The sequence below is a fragment of the Homo sapiens genome, chromosome 1 (assembly GCF_000001405.40).
Source record: "Homo sapiens chromosome 1, GRCh38.p14 Primary Assembly".
Lineage (NCBI taxonomy): Eukaryota > Metazoa > Chordata > Mammalia > Primates > Hominidae > Homo > Homo sapiens.
The window spans coordinates 22,898,113-22,922,675 of NC_000001.11; the positions used below are offsets into that span (position 1 = coordinate 22,898,113).

General features: G+C 52.0%; 1 protein-coding gene across 7 annotated transcripts in view; it reads left to right on the top strand.

Moving 5' to 3' along the window:
* The window catches only part of EPHB2 (EPH receptor B2), a 210,663-nt gene extending 187,275 nt beyond the window's left edge, over window positions 1–23,388 (top strand). For 6 of the 7 annotated variants that reach the window (NM_004442.7, XM_006710442.5, XM_047449104.1 and 3 more), the window contains 7 exon segments: window positions 7,875–7,997; window positions 8,598–8,845; window positions 9,841–10,056; window positions 10,910–11,059; window positions 12,270–12,463; window positions 14,332–14,487; window positions 15,350–23,388. In NM_004442.7, the coding sequence (NP_004433.2) occupies window positions 7,875–7,997; window positions 8,598–8,845; window positions 9,841–10,056; window positions 10,910–11,059; window positions 12,270–12,463; window positions 14,332–14,487; window positions 15,350–15,458 (1,196 nt within the window). In that variant the 3' untranslated portion in view covers window positions 15,459–23,388. 7 annotated transcript variants of the gene reach the window in all.

Genomic DNA, 24,563 nt, shown 5'->3' on the forward strand with positions numbered 1-24,563 from the left:
AGTCTCAAAAAAAAAAAAAAAACAAAAGAAAAAAGAAGAAAAGAAAGAAAGAAAAGAGAAATACATGTCATAAATGCAGAAGCGTGTGGTATATTTGAAGATGAAAGTGCTATAGGAAAAAGACAAAGTGGAACAGTAACGGACCGAGAGTTGTGGGGATCAGGGTGGCGTTTTTAAATAGGACAGCTTGGGTTGGCCTCACTGACAGGGTTTGACTTGCACAAAGATACAGAGGAGCTGAGAGAGTGAGCTGCTCAGAGGTATCTGAGGGAAAAGCATTCCAGGAAGAGGGAACAGCCAATACAAAGGTCTTGAGGCTGGAGCTTCCTGGCAGGTTTCGGGAACAGCAGAGGCCAGTGTGACTGGAGCAGAGCAAAGAGAGAAATGGAAGCTTTGAGGGAGTCCAACGTGCAGATGCTCATCAGGCTCAGCAAAGCCTTGGCTTTTCCCTGAGTGAAATGGGGAGCTGCTGGAAGGTTCTGAGCAGAGGGATGACATGCTCCAAGTTACGGCCTTGGCGGGACTTCTCTGGCTGCTGTCTGGAGAATGGACCAACGGGGCTGATGCAAGGAGACCAGTGGGGTGGCTGTTGGAAGAATCCAGGGAAGACATGATGGTGGCCAGACCGAGTGGCAGGGAGAAGGTAGTGGGAAGTGGTTGGATTCTGACATATTTCAAAAGCAGAGCCACTAGATTTGCTGCAGGACTGGATGTGGATACGTAAGAATGAGCAGAGTCTAGGAGCTCCAGGTACGAAGCCTCTGGGTAAGACATGGTTTGAAGTAAAAGTTCCTGGGCTTAAAAATAGTTTGGGGCTGGCCAGGCACGGTGGCTCACGCCTGTAATCCCAACACTTTAGGAGGCCAAGGTCGGGAGTTCAAGACCAGCCTGACCAACACAGAGAAACCCCGTCTCTACTGAAAATACAAAATTAGCCGGGTGTGGTGGTGCATGCCTGTAATCCCAGCCACTCGGGAGGCTGAGGCAGGAGAATTGCTTGAACCCGGGAGGCAGAGATTGTGGTGAGCCGAGATTGTGCCATTGCACTCCAGCCTGGGCAGCAAGTACAAAACGCCATCTCAAAAAAAAAAAAAAAAAATAGTTTGGGGCCAGGCGCAGTGGCTCACCCCTATAATCCTAGAACTTTGGGAGGCCAAGATGAGCGGATCACCTGAGGTCGGGAGTTCAAGACCAGCCCTACCAACATGGTGAAACCCCATCTCTACTAAAAATAGAAAATTAGCCTGGCGTGGTGGTGTGTGCCTGTAATCCCAGCTACTTCAGAGGCTGAGGCAGGAGAATCCCTTGAACCCGGGAGGTGAAGGTTGCAGTGAGCCGAGATCATGCCATTGCACTCCAGCCTAGGCAACAAGAGTGAAACTCCATCTCAAAAAAAAAGAAAAATAGTTTGGGGCATATATGTAAAACTAGTTAAGCCATTAAAATTTCCAGAAGATAATTTAGGCAACTATTAACCAATACAGAAATAGAAAAGGACCTTCTAAACATGAAAGCAATTGATAACTCCTAAGAAAAAGATGGACACATTTAACTACACAGAAATAAAAGTCACCTGTACATTAAAAATAAAGGTCATAGGCCAGGTGCCATGGTTCATGCCTGTATTCCCAGCACTTTGGGAGGCTGAGGTGGGAGGATCACTTGAGTCCAGGAGTTCGAGACCAGCCTGGGCAACATAGCAAAACCCCATATCTACAAAAAATGTAAAAATTAGCCAGGCATGGTGGCACACACCTGTAGTCCCAAGCTACTCAGGAGGCTGAGGTGAGAGGATCATTCAAGCCCAGGAGGTCAAGGCTGCAGTGAACCATGGTCTCACCACTGCACTCCAGCCTGGGTGACAGAGTGAGACCCTGTCCCAAGAAAAATGAAAAATAAGGCCGGGTGCGGTAGCTCACGCCTGTAATCCCAGCACTTTAGGAGGCCAAGGCGGGTGGATTACCTGAGGTCAGGAATTCAAGACCAGCCTGGCCAACATGGTAAAACCCCGTCTCTACTAAAAATACAAAAATTAGCTGGGTGTGGTGGTGCACGCCTGTAATCCCAGCTACTCAGGAGGCTGAGGCAGGAGAATTGCTTGAACCTGGGAGGCGAAGGTTGCAGTGAGCTGAGATCACGTCACTGCACTCCAGCCTGGGGAACAGAGCAAGACTCCTCAAACAAAAAAAAGAAAAAGAAAGATTATAAATTATGTCATCCCCTCTTATTGCCCCAAGTAATGAAATCGTGATCATAGATGTGGCTAGACGTACTGCGTGCATTCTGTGTGCCAAGAATTGTTTCAATGCTTTACATGTATTTATTCATTTGATCCTTATAATTTCTCACTTTGAATAGGGGGAAACTGAGGCACAGAGGTTGCACAGCTGCTCAGGGATGGAGCAGGGGTATGAACTCCAGCTGTCTGGCTGAAGAGCTGGCATCCTGTGCTGGCTCCATTCTGCTGAGCTGGAATGGGATAGGCTCCCATGCTCCGTCTCCTGGAGCCACTGGGGAGCATTGCTATGTGGTTTGTGAGTCAGTAATAAGGAAACAGGTGGGGTCTATTTTTAAGAGAGACCCCAGGGTTTGTTCCTAGATCAGCACATTTTAAGGCCTAAGATCCCCCTCCCTGCATCCTAAGCTCTAACGTTAGATCCAAGCAGAACTTTGTTCTGTTCAAAGCACTGCCAGCCCTGTGATCCCATATCCACCCAGCCACCCTGCGTGGTCAGGACAGAGGAGGAAGCTGAGGCCCAGAGATCCATGTGACTGGCCTGTAATCACCCACACGGCCCCATGGTTTCCATCATTCAGCAGGTGCTGAGTGAGTACCAAGGTCTGTGATGCCTGGATATGGAGCCAGAGGGACTGACCTGGTTTTCATCCCTATTCTGCCACTGGCCAGCTGGGTGACCTCGGGGAAGCCATCAAACCTCTCTGAGCCTTGACATCTTTATATGGGAAGTAGCAAGAATGATACTTTTGTCACAGAATTGTGAGGATTAAATGAATTAAGGGACATTAAAGTGCTTTGGAATAATATTTAATAATAGCCAGCTCTTCTTTGCAACAGTTTACAATTATTCAGCACTTTCCTTTTGCCAACTACTGTACTGAGCCCTTTAAAAAGATACTCTCGTTTAATCTTGCAACCCCCTTAGGAGGTAGGTATTGTTTATTATACCCATCGGGTAGGTGAAAAAAGTGAGACACAGAGGTTAAGTAACTTGCCCAAGGGCACACTGCTGGATCAACACAGTGGTTGATCCTGGCTTCAAACTCACAAAGCAGCTGATTTGTGACCAGAATTAGCAGCGGTGCCAGAATTCAGACCCAGAACTCTGTACACTGGTTCCTCTTCCCTCCTTGTGAATTTCGCATTTGAGGGCAGAGCAACAGCCAGTGGCCGACACCCGTAAATCATCCAAACAACAGCCCAGGATTTTCTGTAGCCTTTGCCTGCAGAGGTCCTCACCCGACCTCGGTTCAGCAAGTGCCCCTTCTGAGAGCCAGGCTTGTTGGAGGCTCTGGCCACCAGGCACTCACTCACCTTCTATTCCAAGAGACAGACTGGGGAAGCACCTGGGAGAAATTGGCAGCCTGAGGGTTACAAGTGGAGACTCTGTAGCCGGCCTGGGTTCAAACCCCACTTCTGCCATTTATTAGCTGTTTTGATGTCATTTAACTTCGTGTGTGTGTGTGTGAGTGTGTGTGTGTGTGTGTGTGTGTGTAACAGGGTCTCACTTTGTCACCACACTGGAGTGCAGTGGCACAAACACGGCTTACTGCAGCCTCTACCTCCTGGACTCAAGCAATCCTCCTGCCTCAGCCTCCCAGGTAGCTGGGATCACAAGCCTGCACTGCCATGCCTGGCTAACTTATTTATTTTTTGTAGAGATGGGTTTCTGCCATGTTACCCAGGCTGGTCTTGAACTTCTGGGTTCAGGCAATCCTCCTGCCTCAGCCTCCCAAAGGGCTGGGATTATGGGCTTGAGCCACAGTGTCCAACTCATTTAACCTTTCTTATGCCAATTTCCTCGTCTGAAAAACAGGCATCACATGTGATTGTACCAAATGAAATTGCTATTTTTGTAGGTCAGAAACAGTTAAATATTGACAGTTTCATAAGGTATCAGCCTAATAATGGCACTTACCTGGTAGGGTTGTTAGGAGGATTAATTGGATTAAAAACTATAAAGTGCCTAGAACAAGGCCTGGCACCCAGTAAATCTACGCTGAATGTATATTCAATAAGTGTTTACTAAGCATCTACTGTATACCACCTTCACATAAGTACTCCAGAGCCAACATTCTAAAGCAAGGGCTTATAGCTTTGGGTCTAAAGACCCCTAGAGCTTCCAATACCCCAAAATTATATGTGAAATATGGGAGCATACACACACAGGAATACTTTTCCAAGGAGCAGATTCATAATTTTCATCAAATTCTCAAAGACATTCAAGACACGTAGTAATGCTATTATGTGTTCAATAAGCACTTTTTACTTATTGGGCACCCACTGTGTGCCAGGCCCTGGGATTCAGCATGAACAAGACAGACACAGCCTCGGTCTTCCTGGGGAAAAGGGTAAACTAAGCCCTCACGGGCAGCAGAGTCTTCCAGAAAGGAGTGTCAGGGGGCTGTGGGCATGAGTATCTGGGAACCCCGGTACAAGGTAGAAAAGCCACACAGACATCAAGATCATAAGAGTGGGTGTGGACTCAGGACTGTGGGAGCCTGAGGAGAGGGTACAGGTCTCCACTGGAGCAATCCAGGCAGTCTTCACAGAGGGGATGGCATTTGATCTGGTCACAAAAAGAAAGAGAGAGTGTTCCAGGTAGAGAGCACAACATGAACAAAAGCATGGAGGCAGGAAATAATGAAGTGTGTCTGAAACCCCTGGGTCAATAAGTCCTGTGAGCAGGCATCTAGGGAGCAGGGAGCTGGAAGTGAGGCCAATCCACGGAGAGCTGGGAATGCCAGGCAGGGGCATGCAGCTTTGTCCTGCAAGCAACAGAGGCCCTCTTGACCAGTGCTGCTGGCCACAGCATGACGATGGCATCCAGTTGCTTGGCAGTGGAGGTGACCAAGGAGGGTTTGAGCTGCTGTACTTCCTCTTACCTCCCTGAGTCAACCCATTCCTGTCCTCTATCCCCATCAGAAAGGGCCTCCCTGAGTCATGTTGGGAGGGAGGCTGAAAGCCAGTTGTCAAGAACCACAGGGCATGCATTGAGTCTGAGCAAGCAAGAGAGCATCCCCAGGAAGCCGATGCCCTGGCTCTGAGAAGGCTGATGGGGAAAGAGGTGATCATGGCGGAATACTCCAGCAGGCAGCATGGACCAGATTCTGGTTGTATTTCATCCAGGAGGCAGTGAACATGGTGATTAGGAGTACTGGCCCCAGGCTCAAGTCTAACAGACCTGGCTTCAAATCCTGGCTGTGCCATTTGCTAGCTGTGTGGCCTTGGCCAGATGACTTAGCTTCTCAGAGCCACAATTTCCTTATGTGTGAAATGGGAATAATGGTCCTTTCCTCCAAGAGTTTTTGAGTGGAGAAGCTAAGGCATATAAAGAGCCTGGCATGGTGTTGGGCACAAAGGGCTCAGTAAGTGACAGCTGCTATTATGATTCTGTCTGTGTCATTTGGATTCTGCTCAGCCCTATAGACATTGAGTGTCTGCTGTGTGCAGAGCTTTATGCGTGTGCCAGGGGAGGGAGAAATCAGAAAAAAAACATGTGTCCATTTCCTCCTCCCAGGCACTCACAGTCTTGGATGGTGGTTCTTAACCTCTTTGGGGGCCTCAGACTCCTGGGAGACTCTGCTGAAAGTTTTGGAGCCTATGGCCAGAAAAACATATACATGTATAAAATTATTAAAAGTCCAGAGGTCAGGCCAGGCGCGGTGGCTCATGCCTGTAATCCCAGCACTTCGGGAGGCCGAGGCAAGTGGATCATTTGAGGTCAGGAGTTAGAGACCAGCCTGGCCAACATGGCAAAACCTATTAAAACTCTATGAAAAATACAAAAAATAAGCTGAGTGTTGTGGCACATGGCTGTAATCCCAACTACTTGGAAGGCTAAGGTGGGAGAATCACTTGAACCCTGGAGGCGGAGGTTGCAGTGAGCTGAGATTGTGCCACTGCACTCCAGCCTGGGTGACAGAGCAAGAACCTGTCTCAAAAAAAAAAAAAAATTAATTAAAAAAAATCCAGAGGTCTATACTCAAGGTTGGATTTTTTGAGAACTTTTATTTTTGACAATATTTATTTCCATAACTTTTGGACTTTAGAAGCAGCATGAATTACTTTTTGAATAGAAAAGGACAATCATAATAAATGCATCCCATCTCAGGAGGTTACCAGATCTCCTACTGCTCATACTTAGGACTGCTAAGTAGCTCACAGACCCAAATTAAGAAACCCTGACCTCAAGGGTTAAACAAATACCCACACAAATAATCCCAAATAAAGCTAACGTGTTAGAGCAGCGGTTGACAAATTTTTCTGTAAGGGAACAGATAGTAAATATTTTAGGCCTTATGGGTCTCTCTTGTAACTACCCAACTCTGCTGTCATAGCTTAATAACAGCCACAGGCAAAGGAATGAGCATGGTTGTGTTCCAATAATACTTTATTTACAAAATAGGCTATAAGCCAATTCGCCAACCCCTATATTACATGCTCTAATGCCTAGATTCCTGGAATGTCTAAAATAGAGGCCAAGAGTGGTCAACTCATATGTCCAAGGTCACACAGCTGAGCAGGGTTGATGGCCTCACGCACCAACCAGCCAAGCCTTATGGTGACCCAAGGATTTCAACTGCCAACTCCTAGAACTTCTGCCTCCAAATTTGCAGCTCCCGGAGTGGCAGGAGAATGTGAGCAGGATGCTGGAAGAGCCAGAGGAAAGCCTGGGCTCAGGGAGGACTGGGAGGTCTGGATGTTGGAAGACCAGCTGCCTATCTGGGAGGCGGAAGATGGATGGGTCATCTTTCCCTTCTTTCAAAGCATTTTGCCGACTCAGTGCTGGCTGTTCAGAATTGGGTCTTTGACATCCAGGTTACCTTCTTCTCTTAGTGCATAAAAAAATAAGTGTTGGACAGAAGAGAGGGAGAACAAAAAATAATAATAATAATAAAACTAAAATATGCATCAGATCAGGAATCAAATGCCCCATGTCTAGCTTCATGCTGATTACCAGAAAATCAGGGATCCAGAAGGGGTTAAGACTTGGCTAGAGGGGGACCTGGGAGGTGGCCCAGCAGCTGTGGACACTCAGTCCCTGGTGAGTGGGGCGGCCCCTCAAGGCTCTGGGGGCCCATTTGGGAAGGCTGGGCAGCTAGAAAGGGACCCTGGGGGAAGAGGAGGCTTGAATTAGGCCTGGAGAGACAAGGAGGAGCTCTCCTTAGCAGAACCCCAAAGACAACACGGTCTATTGCCTGCTGTTTCTGTATTTTAGTTCCAATTCGCTCCCTTCCTTTTTGCCCCCTTCTTCGTTTACGTTGCACCCCTTGATTCTGTATCACCTATCGATCCGTTTATCCATCTGTGCCCATGCCCATACCAGACATTGCTTATCAGTCCTGACAGTCTCAGCTGCTCCAGAAAACCACTGTTGATCAGTGAGAGTTGGAACAAGAGCTAAGACCTATCTGCCACCCCTGCTGGTCTCTGTTCCCCTCACCTCCTACTCAGTTCACGCCCATCTGCTCAGTAAGCCCCAGAGAGGTCAAGTGACCTGCAGGGAGTTGCCCAGTTCTTATGGGGGCCACATGGGAGTGGATTTCCCTCCACGGAGGGACTGGCTCCCGCTTTTCCTTTTTGTGTGCATCTTGAGTCAGTCCATATGACAGAGCCTGGTCTTGTCCCCCAGTGACCCCAGGCATGAAGATCTACATCGATCCTTTCACCTACGAGGACCCCAACGAGGCAGTGCGGGAGTTTGCCAAGGAAATTGACATCTCCTGTGTCAAAATTGAGCAGGTGATCGGAGCAGGTAGGTGGCTGGTACTCTCACATGTACTATGACCTTAGCCATGGCTGGTGAGACCACCCCAATGTATACCCTTGGGGCAGAAGGTAGGATGTGGGACAGGCGCCTCAAAGGACCCCCCAAGGCCTGAAGGTTCAGAATGACCATGAAAGAAGGGCCCTCAAAGGTCATCCAGTAAAACCACCTCACTGACAAAAGAGGAAACTGAGGCACAGGGCTGGGAGGGGACATGCACAGTGAGTCAGAGATTGAGCTGGGTCTGGAGCCCAGTTCTCTGGACTCTTGGTCCAGTGCTTTTCCTTCCTCCCCCCATGTATCCCAGTGCCTTTTCCCATCTCCCAGGTTCCCCTGCACCCTCACCCCCATGCCCAGCCAGGGATAACCAGAGAACAACCATGAGGAATTTACTGTCCTCTCCCAGAGGTGACTGGAACTTTTCTGGACCCCTGACATTCTTGAAGGGGTTCTGTGTCTGCAAGGATGAGTGGGCCATTGAGAAGAAAATGTACCTGCAGGCCCCGTGAGTGGACATGACAGGGAACAGGAAGGTGGCCCTTCCACCTGGCAAGTGACATCCTGTCTGTCTTGGTGTTTCTCTCTCAGGGGAGTTTGGCGAGGTCTGCAGTGGCCACCTGAAGCTGCCAGGCAAGAGAGAGATCTTTGTGGCCATCAAGACGCTCAAGTCGGGCTACACGGAGAAGCAGCGCCGGGACTTCCTGAGCGAAGCCTCCATCATGGGCCAGTTCGACCATCCCAACGTCATCCACCTGGAGGGTGTCGTGACCAAGAGCACACCTGTGATGATCATCACCGAGTTCATGGAGAATGGCTCCCTGGACTCCTTTCTCCGGGTAGGGGAAGCCAAGAGGGCCAGGGGCCCATGAATGGGGCAGGAAAAGGAACGATGGACATAGCTTCATACTGTCAGAGCCTGAAGGGGTCTTGGAAAAGCTCTAGGTCAGGAATGGCTTGCAGGCTGTCACTTTCCATTCCCTTATCCATGGCAGGCACTGCTAATCAATCCCAGCACTCTCATCCACTAAGCCCAGAGGCAGTCCCAGAATTCTTCTCAGTATGGTTCCCCAGGAAGCCACAATCAGTTGATCAGAGTTGGCACACATCTGAAATCTGTTTCCATTCCTGCTCTTAGCCAGCCTTCTCATTATGCACAGGAGAAAACGGGCTCAAAGAGAGGTAGGATTTGCCCAGAGTCACCCAGAGGGTCAAGATGAGGCCTGGACTGGAACCAAGTGTCTTGACCTCTCATCCAGGTTTTCACCAGATTTTGGAGTTCTCCAAAGCTCTATAGGCTGGTGGGAGGAGTTCAGAGCACAAGGCCAACAGAGGAAAGTGTATAGGCCTCCCAGGAGACCAAGTCAACCAACCAGACAAAGCACCAGACTGGACATCAGAAGCAGGCCAGTGGACCAGCTGCCATTCAGTAAATATTTGTGAAGCACCTAACATGTGCCAGGCACCTTCCATACACCTTCTTGTATAACCCAGAATAGCCCTGGGGGATGGGTGTGATTTAGGCCCATTTAACACACAGATGAGGAAACTGAGACTCAGAGGTATTAGGTCACATGTCCAAGGTTGCACAGCCGAGAAGGAACAAAGCCAGAGTCAAACCAAGCGTGTCTGCTTCAAAGCCTGTGTTCTCACCACCACTCTGAAGTTGGCCTCTGACGGGCCTCTCTGGGGTCCCAAAGCATCTGAGTCCTTCCCCAGGGGAGCCCAGAGCCAGGCTGGCAGGGCCCTGCTCTGGTTTCCCATTATGAGGATGATGCAGAGCTCTGATGCCTGCTCTTCTGTTTACTCTGTGTTTTCCCCACTTCTCCCAAAGCAAAACGATGGGCAGTTCACAGTCATCCAGCTGGTGGGCATGCTTCGGGGCATCGCAGCTGGCATGAAGTACCTGGCAGACATGAACTATGTTCACCGTGACCTGGCTGCCCGCAACATCCTCGTCAACAGCAACCTGGTCTGCAAGGTGTCGGACTTTGGGCTCTCACGCTTTCTAGAGGACGATACCTCAGACCCCACCTACACCAGTGCCCTGGTAAGATGGAGGCAGGGAACACCGGAGTCACAGAGCCAGAGAAGAGGGCATGAGTGTCCATCTCTCCCTGCAAGACACTTTCACTAACGCCCAATTGGGCCAAGCACTGTCCTGGGCCCTGGAGACAGGAAGACAGGAACCACAGCTCCTGCCCTCTTGCAATTCCCACACTGGTGGGGAACAAATGTGCAGAGCCATGTGGAGTGACAGGGCTGTAAGCCAGGACAGCCAGCCTTGGAGGCAGAGGAAGGCTTGCTAGAGAGGTTGATATCTGAGCTGAGAGCAGAAGGGCCCGGAAACGTTTGTCAGATGCCATGTTCTCATGGCAAAGTCCTGTGACAGGAATACAGGCTGTAGGGGCAGTGGTAGTGAGCAGTCACGCTGGAGAGGTAGACAGGGCTGGACCTTGGAGCTCCTGGAATGCCCAGGTTCAGGACTCTCTCCTGAAAGCAGCAAGGGTTGTTGAAGGTTTAAACTGAAAGGACAAAGAGCCCAGAGATGGGTGCAAGTAGGCAAGTCACTTGAGTACTGTGCCATGTGAGACATGCCTCCTTGATGGGGAGACATAAGGCACAGCTGTGGGATTGAGGGCAGCTGACAATTCTTTGGGAGCTCAGAAAGGCTTTTGGAGGGACTTGAGGATGAGAAGGAGGTTTCCAGATGGCAGAGTGGGAAAAGGCACTTCATGCAGAGGGCGCAAATGCCCAGTGGTCTGAAGCTGCATGGTAAGTTTGGGGCACAATGAGGTGCCTCATGAGATTGGGGCATCACAGGGCACAGGGTGGGAGGATTAAGAGAAGAGGTCAGACAGGCCAGCCTCCCACCCACAAACCCTCCTCTTTCTGTCTCCCAGGGCGGAAAGATCCCCATCCGCTGGACAGCCCCGGAAGCCATCCAGTACCGGAAGTTCACCTCGGCCAGTGATGTGTGGAGCTACGGCATTGTCATGTGGGAGGTGATGTCCTATGGGGAGCGGCCCTACTGGGACATGACCAACCAGGATGTAAGTCTCCAAGGGGATAGGCAAGGCCTCTCTGGCCCACCAGATGGGAGAGGGAAGATCGGGGCTCCTGGCCTTGTGCCAGTCTCCCAGAGTGTGGGACATAGGCTTCTGAGATCATGGGCCTGGCTCCCAGGGCAGCTGCCAGCCCAATGGTGGCTGATTCGAATGTCTGCACAGGACTCTGGACTCTCCAGGGGGTAGGAAGTAGGAAAGGCCACCCATCCACACATCAGCACGTCTTCAGGACGCATGCACCTGTGGCCAGCCCCAAATGAGACCACATCTGCCCTTCAGGTGTTCACCACCTAACTGGGGGACAAGACGATTATTCAGGGAACCAGATGTTATGATCAGGAGCTTTTACGATCAGGTGCTAAATCAGAGTAGCCTGGAGGCACTGAGGCACCGGCAGCATGGGCAAGATCAGCCAGGAAGTGATCGCAGGACAAGTGGGGTTCGAAAGGTCGCAGGACATGGAGACTTGAGGGCTTCCAGTGGGAAAGAACAGTGTGTGCAAAGGCTGGGGTTGGCTAATGCGGGGTTGAAGCCAAACCAAGGGATCTCCATTAGCAAAAATGAAGACAGGAAGGACTCGAAGAAACTTCTTACACAGGGAGGGTGACCCACAGTTGAGCTGTGGAAGGTGAATCTGGCCATGGTGGCAGGACAGGCTGAGAGGGGTGTTTGGATGCATTTCCTTGACAGAGAAGCAGGTGGAGATGGTGGGAGGGAGCCCCAGCCAGGCTTGAGGCCATGGTGTGGGCCTGATAGAGGGAGGTATCTCACACCTGGAGCTGTAAATGGCACTAAAATCAAGCATGTGGCCATGTGGGGTCAAGCAAGGAGGCAGACTGGGGAGGCCTTGGGGTCATCCAAGCCAAGAGGGGGCTCACAGGATGGGAGGAGCTGGTGGAACCAGGCACAGGAGGATCATCTTGGTGGACCCTGGGGAGAAGCTATCTCAGGGCACTGGATTTCCCAAGATTGGCAAAGGGTGGGGCAGGAACCCAGCTGCCATGTCAGATTGAGGGTCTAGATGGTGGAAACCCAGGTCATCCCATCCCTGGGGCTGCCTCCAGGAGGTGAAAGTGGTTGCCACAGCAACTAAATAGGTCAGACGTGCAATGTACTGGGGGTAAGATGGGCCTGGCAGAGGGTAGACGCCCTCAGCCCATCCACCCAACCCCACTGCACTCCTGCATTGTCCCAGGTAATCAATGCCATTGAGCAGGACTATCGGCTGCCACCGCCCATGGACTGCCCGAGCGCCCTGCACCAACTCATGCTGGACTGTTGGCAGAAGGACCGCAACCACCGGCCCAAGTTCGGCCAAATTGTCAACACGCTAGACAAGATGATCCGCAATCCCAACAGCCTCAAAGCCATGGCGCCCCTCTCCTCTGGGTAAGGCCCCACCCTGGCCCTGCCCCAGCCAGGCCCTGCCCCTCTTCCCGTCTCCCATCCCTTCTGCCCCCACTTCAGGCAAATGCTCTTCCTTACTGCAGCTTGGGATGGGGAAGGACAGGACTAGTGTTTATTGGGTACCTGCCCTGCCTTAGGGGTGCAGGAGAGCAGAGGACGCAGACTGCCCAGAGGAAGAAAAGGACATATACCCTGTGGGTGCAGAGGAGGCATCTTTTAAAGCATGGTCAGAGAGGACAATGAAGAAAAATTACCAAAGGAAGGCCGGGAGAGATGGCTCACGCCTGTAATCCCAGCACTTTGGGAGGCTGAAGTGGGTGGATCGCCTGAGGACAGGAGTTCAAGACTAGCCTGGCCAACATGGTGAAACCCCTTCTCTACTAAAATTTATAAAAATTAGCCAGCCCCTGGTGGTGTGCACCTGTAATCCCAGCTACTCAGGAGGCTGAGGCAGGAGAATCGCTTGAACCCAGGAGGCAGAGGTTGCAGTGAGCTGAGATCGTGCCACTGCACTCCAACCTGAGTGGCAAGAGTGAAACTCCATCTAAAAAAATAAATAAATAAATAAATAAATAAATAAATAAATAATTACCAAAGGATCCAGAATCTTAGTTCGTGAATAGATATGCCTGTCACTAAGTTTCCTTCCTAGCTACCCTCACGCTCAAACCTGGACCCTCTAACTTCCATTTATAACTTCATCACACACATGCTAACACAAATCCAGTCCTACATGCACAGATGAACACACAATTAGGCACAAACACTCATGCCTCTTCACACACACAGTCTCAGGCTCTCACACCTACACACATCCATAGGCACCTGCACACACACACCCATTCAGAAGTTTGTACTCACCATACACCCATCTGTGCCCCCACACTGAGTCAGCATCCCCATGCCTGAGAGACGGGCTCAGCCTGAGGGGTGTTCACTTGGGGACCTGGTGCCTCCCTTCTCCTCAAGGCTCAAGCCTCCCAGGGCAGGCTCCATGAGGCAGCAGCTCTCCTCTGCCTTCCTTGGGTGGCTGTCACAGGTCACACTGCTGCCCCTGCACACACTTACTCCTCAGGACCCACAACCCCACAGGGTTTCAGAGGGGCATCTGGCCAGGTATACTTAGGATCTAGGGCTGGCTGTAGCCAAGTCCTTAGGAAGGACTTGGGCCAAAGTCCTTCTTCCAGCATGTTCTTATGAGTGGGAGATCATCATGCTTCCCTCTGCCTGTCTCTCCTCACCATGACCCTGTGTCAGCCACCCCTAACTCTCCAGATCAAATCCCTCTGAGCTTTAAACCTCATGAGAGCCATTTCACTCCTTGCCAGCCAAGAAGTCATTCCCATTAGCGCCACCAGCCTTAGCTGGGCTTTGGAGATACAGTCTCTGGACAGTCCAGAAGGTGAGCTTCCTATAGCACAAACCAGGGTGGAGAAGGATGGAGAATGGCACTGGGAGAGGAAACTGTGAATAACCAGAATAGTTAGTCTAGCTGAAATCCCTCCTCCTGAAAATAAGCATGGAGCTGCGTCTTCCCCTCCTCACTTCCGAGGTCCAGCCTCTTGGCCATCCCTGCAGTGCCTTCCCTAGACTTCCCAGTTGGCCCCAGCTTTGAGTTCTGCACACACACTCACTCTCGCATGCTCACATATATATGCGTGCATGTTTCCACAGGTTCAAACCCATGCCCGCAATCATGCAGAAATACTCACGTACATACCCCTTCACCTGTGTTCACATAAATGGATGCACACGTGCACATTCACGCATACGCAGCCTACAGGCATGTCCCTGCACGCTCCCTGCAAACAGGTGCCCTGACCATCTCTGTCGCCCACCCCCAACCCCAGCATCAACCTGCCGCTGCTGGACCGCACGATCCCCGACTACACCAGCTTTAACACGGTGGACGAGTGGCTGGAGGCCATCAAGATGGGGCAGTACAAGGAGAGCTTCGCCAATGCCGGCTTCACCTCCTTTGACGTCGTGTCTCAGATGATGATGGAGTAAGTGCCCAGCCACTTCTGCTTGTCACCTTAGCACCCCCTCTCCACCGGCCCCACCAGCCAAGTGGGGTGATCTGGAGGGTGAGGAATAGATCATGTCCCAATAGGGAAGCAGGGACCAAGGGGCAAGATGGCCAACTTTGGAGTCACCTGTGGACTGATACCCAGGTCTGCCTGCCACCTACAAGCTCTGTGACCTTGGTCAAATCATAGCACCTCCCTCAGCCTCCGTTTTCTCACCTACAAACTGGGGGTTGGTAGGAAGGTTGAGGGAGATATAAAGGAAGCGGGTGCTTAGAAAATGCAAGCTGGCAGCCGGGCACAGTGGCTCATGCCTGTAATCTTAGTACATTGGGAGGCCGAGGCGGGCAGATCACAAGGTCAGGAGTTCAAGACCAGCCTGACCAACATGGTGAAACCCCGTCTCTACTAAAATGCAAAAAATTAGCCACGCAAGGTGGCATGCACCTGTAATGCCAGCTACTCGGGAGGCTGAGGCAGGGGAATTGCTTGAACCAAGGAGGTAGAGGTTGCAGTGAGCTGAGATCACGCCACTGCACACCAGCCTGGGTGACAGAGCGAGACTCTGTCTCGAAAAAGAAAGAAAATGTAAGCTGGCTTCCCCCTCCCAATAGCAGGGGAGAGAAGGCCCCCTAGGGACCCTGATTCCGACTCAAGTGCTCTTCCACCTCACACCATAGTCGCTCCCTCCAGCTGTGGCTGCCTGCCCACTCCCCACTCCCCACTCCCCAGTACTCCTTGCTTTGCCATCTTCCTCCCGGGGAAGCCCAGGCAGCTCTCTACCAGGCACAGGACCCCTTCACCCGCATATTTCCCTAACACACGTGCTTCTCTCCCAAAGGGACATTCTCCGGGTTGGGGTCACTTTGGCTGGCCACCAGAAAAAAATCCTGAACAGTATCCAGGTGATGCGGGCGCAGATGAACCAGATTCAGTCTGTGGAGGTTTGACATTCACCTGCCTCGGCTCACCTCTTCCTCCAAGCCCCGCCCCCTCTGCCCCACGTGCCGGCCCTCCTGGTGCTCTATCCACTGCAGGGCCAGCCACTCGCCAGGAGGCCACGGGCCACGGGAAGAACCAAGCGGTGCCAGCCACGAGACGTCACCAAGAAAACATGCAACTCAAACGACGGAAAAAAAAAGGGAATGGGAAAAAAGAAAACAGATCCTGGGAGGGGGCGGGAAATACAAGGAATATTTTTTAAAGAGGATTCTCATAAGGAAAGCAATGACTGTTCTTGCGGGGGATAAAAAAGGGCTTGGGAGATTCATGCGATGTGTCCAATCGGAGACAAAAGCAGTTTCTCTCCAACTCCCTCTGGGAAGGTGACCTGGCCAGAGCCAAGAAACACTTTCAGAAAAACAAATGTGAAGGGGAGAGACAGGGGCCGCCCTTGGCTCCTGTCCCTGCTGCTCCTCTAGGCCTCACTCAACAACCAAGCGCCTGGAGGACGGGACAGATGGACAGACAGCCACCCTGAGAACCCCTCTGGGAAAATCTATTCCTGCCACCACTGGGCAAACAGAAGAATTTTTCTGTCTTTGGAGAGTATTTTAGAAACTCCAATGAAAGACACTGTTTCTCCTGTTGGCTCACAGGGCTGAAAGGGGCTTTTGTCCTCCTGGGTCAGGGAGAACGCGGGGACCCCAGAAAGGTCAGCCTTCCTGAGGATGGGCAACCCCCAGGTCTGCAGCTCCAGGTACATATCACGCGCACAGCCTGGCAGCCTGGCCCTCCTGGTGCCCACTCCCGCCAGCCCCTGCCTCGAGGACTGATACTGCAGTGACTGCCGTCAGCTCCGACTGCCGCTGAGAAGGGTTGATCCTGCATCTGGGTTTGTTTACAGCAATTCCTGGACTCGGGGGTATTTTGGTCACAGGGTGGTTTTGGTTTAGGGGGTTTGTTTGTTGGGTTGTTTTTTGTTTTTTGGTTTTTTTTAATGACAATGAAGTGACACTTTGACATTTCCTACCTTTTGAGGACTTGATCCTTCTCCAGGAAGAAGGTGCTTTCTGCTTACTGACTTAGGCAATACACCAAGGGCGAGATTTTATATGCACATTTCTGGATTTTTTTATACGGTTTTCATTGACACTCTTCCCTCCTCCCACCTGCCACCAGGCCTCACCAAAGCCCACTGCCATGGGGCCATCTGGGCCATTCAGAGACTGGAGTGAGATTTGGGTGTGGAGGGGGAGGCGCCAAGGTGGAGGAGCTTCCCACTCCAGGACTGTTGATGAAAGGGACAGATTGAGGAGGAAGTGGGCTCTGAGGCTGCAGGGCTGGAAGTCCTTGCCCACTTCCCACTCTCCTGCCCCAATCTATCTAGTACTTCCCAGGCAAATAGGCCCCTTTGAGGCTCCTGAGTGCCCTCAGATGGTCAAAACCCAGTTTTCCCTCTGGGAGCCTAAACCAGGCTGCATCGGAGGCCAGGACCCGGATCATTCACTGTGATACCCTGCCCTCCAGAGGGTGCGCTCAGAGACACGGGCAAGCATGCCTCTTCCCTTCCCTGGAGAGAAAGTGTGTGATTTCTCTCCCACCTCCTTCCCCCCACCAGACCTTTGCTGGGCCTAAAGGTCTTGGCCATGGGGACGCCCTCAGTCTAGGGATCTGGCCACAGACTCCCTCCTGTGAACCAACACAGACACCCAAGCAGAGCAATCAGTTAGTGAATTGAATGGAAATAAACGCTTTAGTTATAATATGACCCCTGTTCTCTGTAAGTTCCAAGGGAGACCTTGGTACCCTTGGGATGCACGTGACCCAGGTGCTAAGGGTTGCTCTTCTAAGCAGCCCTTCCTCCCTCAGGCTTCCAGAAAGCCCAGGGCAGAGAAAACACATGGAGAACGACAGCTCCACGTGGCCTTTCTGGCCCTGGCTTGTCAAAAGCACAGGCAACAAAGGAAGTGAGTTGGAAGTGGCTCAGAACTCAGCCTTCGATGCCCTGGGAATCAGGGTGAGCCCCTGCAGGTACATAAGTAGCAGAGAATTGACGAGAGTGCACTCGGAAGAGGGTCTGAGTGTCAGGTGAGCTGTCATAGTGGGAACGTGAGGGTCTTAGAGTGCTCATGTACCCCCAGGCACAGCCAACTCTGGTTTTCTCTGTGCAAATGAGCTCTTGCTCACATTAAAATCAGAATTGTCCACGTGGCAGGAGGAGGCAGGGAGATGGATGTGCCATGGATATCGGGTCTGGCTGAGGAAGGGGAGCCAAGGAGACTACCTCTCGGGACCTTTCCCAGATCCGAGGAGATGGCCAGTGAGAAAGATTCGGGCCACAGGCAGCCAGCTAGAAGCGCCACGGTCAGAGTGAACATCCAGCACAGCACAGCCCATCGTCTGTCACTCACCTGTTCCGGGAGCCTGAGCTGCAAAGGGAAGGAAGGGATTAGAGAGAAGTGTGGGCCCCCCATGGGGACAGCAGGGCAAGCCACAGGGAAAGCATTGGCAGGTTTCCCACAAACTGGCCGGCAGTGGCCCACTGGCCTTCACTTTGTGCCCCAAAGGTGCCCTGCGCGGGTGGCAGCTGTCTCGGCACACAAGGTCACCTTCTGGTGGGAGCTGCCCTGATGCTCTTTAGATTAGTTCTGTCTCCCCAGCCCACCCCCCAACTGTTCTGGGGCCCCACATGGGGCTGGCAGTCGGTGCTTCCCGTCAGATGGCTTCCTGTCCTAAGCCGCTGAGCTGGTGACCACTAGCCAGCATGTCTGCCCCTCCACCCTCCAGGGCCGAGGTCCTCAGTGGCCATGGCCCCCTGCAAACCTGCTTCCCAGAGCACAGGTGCTACCAGACCTCTGTGTCTCCACTTCAGGGTAACAAACAGATGTCACTGTGACTGTCCCAGGGGTACAGGCGCTGCTCACATCTCTTCCACCCCCACCCACCCACCCCACCCGCTACCGGGGCAGTCGCCCCGCCCCAACCTCTTGCTTGCTGCTCAGCGGGGAGTGGCAGGCCATGTTGCCAAGCGCCTTCCACTTACACCACCCGCTCACCCAGGCACACAGCTCTGAGCCACCCGCTGCCTGGTTACTAATCCTTTCCTGGCTCAACCTCCCCAAGTGCCAGCCCCCGCCTGCCCAGCAGTGTTAGGGGAGTTTCCGGCTGCTCTGCACACAGTTGGTACTGCAGGAAAGAAAGCTGCCTTGTAAACACAGGCCAGGGCACCGTGGAAATGGGGACCAGCTGCTCTGGGAGGGTGCAGCTAGCAGAGCTGTGCAGCGCCAGGCTGGGTAGGAGAGAGCCATGCTACCCACCCGCACCCCTACTGCTACGAAGCCCCCAGAATGGGTCATTGTTGGTGCTCAGCAGTCCTCTCCCTCGGGGATGATATCCAAAATATCAACTGCGAAGACTCGGGCAGACCAATCAGAATAGATGATGGCCTGAGTGCTGGACCAGAGGCCTCAGAGCAGGGACCCGGGTGGCGGGGCAGTAGGAGACACTTAAGGGACTCAGGGCTATGGCTGTTTACTAACCAGCAGTGCCTCTTACTCAGATGGCATCAGCTGAACTTTCCCCATCATTTCTAGTTGGTCCCCACCCTGCCACCATCTAGGGGCTTCTCTGCCACCACCTTGTGAGCAGTTGCTAGCCTCACACTCCTCTCCCATCAGGGGCTCATCTCCAAAAGGCTGGGAGCTCCCGCCCTGCCCAGTTAATCCTCCTGCCTCACTGAAGCACAGGAAGGACCCAGGCCCCAGACCATCACCCACCCCAGGGCTGGGCCCTGGGCCACTCCTGGCTCACTCCAGGGCCCCTGTTGTTTGAAGATGGTACCAAAGGCTGGAAGACTCTTGCTAGGGAAGATAACGTAAATGCATTCAAAAGACAGGGTACCACATGATGCTAGGGAAAGTGCGTCATGACCGCAGGGTAGCAGCCTGCTCCTGTCACTAGGGATGTGAATCTGGGGAGACACTTCCCCTCACTGAGCCATCTGTAAAATGAGAGCATTGGACTGGGTGAGGCAGGCTGTGCAAAACACTTATACACCTTAGTCCCATGAGGAAGGAGTATTCCCCCTGCATATTTTGGGGGGAAACTGAGGCTCAGGGGGATGAAGTACTTTGCTCAGGGTAACACAGCCAGGAAGGAGCAGAGCAAGGCCATGAGCTTTGGATTTTTCTGTTTCCAATGTCTCCTCTACCGTGCTCAATTAGATGATGAGAAACAGTTGGTGTCTGATGCTGGCCAATAAGAGAAAAGAAAGCTCAAGTGGGCTGGGGCTGTCAGGGAGGGCTTCATGGAGAGGCTGTCTTGAAAATGACAGAGGTCAAAAGAAAGGTCACTCCAAGACGCAGCTGCCAGAATGGTCCAACACAGTGAGGAGTTGTGTCTGGATGGGCCAGTGGAACGGGGGAAGTGAAGGTTGATATAAGTGGAGGTTGAGGCAGTTTAGGCGTGATGTACAGTCCAGCCACAGCAGGTTCTTGAGCAGGAGGGTAGCATAGTGAGCATCAGGTTCTAGGAAGAAGCACCAGTTCAGCCATCAGATGGGGCAGGATGCCTCCCAGCTACTCCTCTCCCCGAGAAGGAATTGCCCCCGGAGCGGCCCTCATTTATTCCAGGAGAAGCCAGGCCCTGCTGCTTCAGTTTCCATCCTCACTGACGCAGATAATCCAAAGAGTCACTTCAGCTGCTTGGAACAGCAGGGTTGGGTCTTGTGCTACCTGATTCTTAATTTGGCTGATGTCTACCCCATTTCCTCCAGGCTTCTCTAGAGGTGGCAGGGGTGGGGTGGGGAGAAAGCTGCCAGACACCAAAGGAGCTGAGCCTGGCGGGGGCGGGCGTGCGGGTGGGCATGAGAAATTGCTCAGGAAACCCATCCCTGCCCTGGTCACCCTAGTCCTGGAGAGATCACCCAGACATGTTGGAATGAGTCTGGGGTCCTGTCTTTTCCAATAATGTGTTATCCTGGGGAAACCCAGAGGGAAGTTGAGGGAGCCCCACTGTGCTGTGTGATGCTACATACGCATGCGAATACACCACCGGGTGGCCTTGACCCAGCCTTCTGCAAAATGGCTTCTGCCATCAAACTTAAGGTGGAGAATGGTCTTGCAGCTGCCAGTTTTTCCTTCAGAGAAACTAAGGTCAGAGTGTTGGCTGCAGAAAAGGACTTGGCCTTTGTCACATAACAGGAAAGAGAGTCAACTCCGGGCACACCCCCTCGGAGGCTAATCTCAGGAGGTTGGAACCACAGGGATTGCAATAATCGCTGAATACTTACCATATGCCAGGTGCCAAAGCATTATCCTCTCCACTTTATGAGTGAGGAAACTGATTCCCAGAGGTGATTCCCAGAAGATTCCAACCAGGCCATCTGTCTGTAGTCCTTCCTTCCCACCTCCTGGGATTTCTCAAAATGTTTGCCATCGCCCACCTGTATCAGAATCTCCTGGGCTATTTATTGTTTAACTTGCAGACTCCTGGGCGCCACCCCAACCCCCTAAATCAGAATCCCTGGGGTTGGGCCCAAGAGTCTCCATTTTTTGACAAGCTCCTCCAGGAGATTCCTCCAGACATGGAAATCCTCACTTGACTCTTCCCCCATAACAAACTGCCCTGATGTCTGCAGAGAGAGGGTCTGCTGTAGACAGGGATTAAGAAAAAGCAGGACATTTTCAGATAGGATGCCCAAACCCAGACGCAGATTAGGACCCATGAAGTAGGGGGTAGAGCTGACCCTCAGGAATGTGCCCAGACAGAGCTAAGCTTTCAGGAAAATTAGAAAGACCCTCAGACCCAGAGTCTGTCTGAGTTTAGCTTCGCAGCATGAAGGCTGCCTTGAGAAAGCTGATATAACAAGAAGCAGCAGAAATTTAATACTTTGGAGGGGCCCAGCAACCCACTCAGGGCCACCCTGGGAGACCCCACAGACCCCAAGGCTATGGTCCAGACCTGTTCACTCAACACCTGGCCAGGCGGGGCCTCCAGCTGGACCTAGAGCTACAGATGCCCCACCACCACTACCAAGCCCGGCTACCCAGACCAAGACACGGCTTTTCCTGGAGGAGAGAGAGAGCAAAGGCCCTGTCTCTACCCAAGACCTAACGGCCCCTGTTGAAGGAGAGGGAGCAGGAGAGGGAGGAGGGAGGAGGTCACAGCCAGGACCACATACACTCTTGGGGGCCCTGCTGAGACTGCAAGAGTCATGAATTCTAACGTTCCACAGGTGAAAGATTCCAAGATTCTAGGATTGCAAAACCCCATCATTCTAAGATTCCAATGGAATGATTCCATGTTTCTAAGATTCCATCACACTATGATTCTATGCTGCTAATTCTTGAAATTTCGAGTCTCATTGTTCGTTGCTGTTCCCCAGACCTGTGGGCCCTAGCATTTTTTTAAAAGCACAAAAAAAAAAGAGCAAGAAAGAGAGAAAGAGATGGGGAGGGAGACAGCTGAAAACAGATACTAAGAAAAGCTCCATCCCTTGGATCTGAGTTACAGATGCACCTTGGCAAGGGCCAAAGACCCTCCTTTTGAGTGGGGTGCAGAACGTCTTTCCCTGGTAGAGTGGCAGAATTGCATGCATCAGGCCTTCCTGGGGGTAAAAGGGGCTGGCTGTTCCAGGCTACAGCTGAGTAAAGCCCCACACAGGCCACAGTGCCCACTGGCTGGTGGACCTAGGAACCAAGCAGGGCCCCACTGGCTCAGTCTGGGGAGGGACTCATCTGGGGTGGAATTTCCCTCCCTGCAGCAAGGAAGCTGCAGGGCCAGGAATTTGCCTTGGGAGACCCCCACTGAGGAATATTTCCGAAGCAGAACCCCTTCCTATTCAGAGCCAGAGTCTTAACACTGGACAACCACAGGGTGTTGCTGCAAACTCCAGAGCCAGGTGCCTTCCCTCTGACATTTGGGACATAGCTTCCATGGCCACACAGCCTTCGCCCCCTTCCAAGACCCCCCTTGACCTTTCTAATCTTAGTCACTGCCTTCCAGAGCTGGGAGGCCACACGGCAGAGGTGCCTGTGAATCACTCCGTCATCAGCCTGGCCGCTTTCCCCTCTGTGGAGAGGGACTCTGATGGGCAGGGGGCACCAAGTTGAGCCTCTGAGGCTGGCCCAGCATAGGCCAGGCAGGGACATTCACTCACAACCAGCCTTTTTGGACTCTAGAGAAGAGTAATTACCACTTGGTCATGCCCAGCCCCCAAATCATAATCATAGCTGCTATTTCTTGAGTGCCAGCAATGTGCCAGGCACCGTGCCCAACTTTTTATACACAATGTCTTGCCTAATCCTCACACCTCTGTGAGACAGGTACAATTATTACTCCCATTCCACAGACTAGCAAACTCAGAGACGTGACATGGTGGCTCTCCCAGGTCACACAGCCAGTAAGTGGCCTCTGACCCCAGTACCCCCCACTTAATCACCATGCTATGCTGCTACCAGTGGTACACACTCAGCCCCTCTCCACTGTCAGATCCTTTGCCAGTCAAATCCCAGATCCCCGGGGGGGCACTGTGGCACCCTCTTTGAGCGTGGCCTCCCTGGAGCTGCTGTCAGAGCCATGGGCTGTGGGAGTGAGTGTGCACACTCCTTCTCCTGAAGTGTCTGCCCCAGCCTGAGCTATGCAGACCGGAGCTCTCAACCAGGGTATGGGGCTGTCTGGCAGGGTTTCCCAGAACCCTGTTTCCTGTGGTCATAAATATGGGTTTTCCTGACAATGTTGGGAGGTCAGGGACTGATACAGCTGGGGTTCCAACCGCCGTGGGTCAGACCTGGCTCCTCCGGACCCCACTGCTGTGACCAAGGAAATCTCACCAGCTGTGTCCAAGATCAACCCTGACCCTGTTACTCCAATGCCTTTGTAGGAGTATTTTTAGCAGAACCGTTTTTTTCCCAAAATAAATGTGAATTGTAAAAATTATCACTTGGACTCAGTATTTATTTTTCCTCTGAGGTTCCCCAGAGAACAAGTAGGAGCTCTCAGAGGCCCTGGGCAGGGTTCTGAAGTATGACTAGGAGTTTTCCAGGGCTAAGAATGGAGCTAGGCTAGGGCTGGGCCTGGAGCTGGAGTTGGGGTGCGGATTTGGCCTGGGCTAGGGTGGAGTGTTGACATAAAGCAGCTTTTAAGTGTTCTAAGAACACTCCGTTGTGTTTTAACAGTTTCAGCTCTGCTGTCAGGGGCTTAGAGTTCATATCCCAACTCTGCCATTTGTTAGCTGCCTTGCAGAGGTCACATAACTGTGCTGAGCTTCATTTTCATGTCTGTAAAACAAGGGCAATTGTTTCTAACTCCTAGAGTGTGGGTGAGGAGTCAGTGAGATAGAGCATGGAAAGCCTTGGCACTCACAGACATGAGCTATTATTATTGTGCTGAGCAGGAGGCCCGCGACGGCAGGGCCAATGTCTATCATACACTTTTGCTGTGTTCTTTGCAACCAAGACGATGCCTGCTGAACTAGTTCATTCTCACATTGCTATAAAGAAATACCCAAAACTAGGTAATTTATAAAGAAAAGAGGCTTAATTGGCTCACGGTTCTGCAAGGCTGTACGGGAAGCATGATTCTCGCGTCTGCTGGGCTCCTGGGAAGGCCTCAGGAAACTTACAATCATGATGGAAGGCAAAGGGGGAGCACACATGTCACCTGGTGGAAGCAGGGGCAAGAGAGAGAGGGAGGAGGTGCCACACTCTTTTAAACAACCAGATCTCACCATAACTCACTCACCATCACGATAACAGCATGGTGGGGATGGTGCTAACCCATTCATGAGAACTCTGCCCCCATGACCCAATCACCTCCTACCAGGCCTCACCTCCAACAATGGGAATTACAATTCGCCATGAGATTTGGTGGGGACACAGATCCAAACCATATCACTTGCCTCATGCTAGACACTCAATACATATTTGTCAAGTAGATATCAGAGACATTCAGTGAGGGTTCCATGGTCAAATACATTTGGCAAATTCTGGGGTAAGGCAAGTTAATCAGATTTCTTTGTCCCAGGATATTGCAGAGTCTTAAATATGGTAAAAGTGCAATGTGAATCTCTAAGAAGGTGTTACCATTTGCAGGCTTTCCCTCTGGGAGAGCAT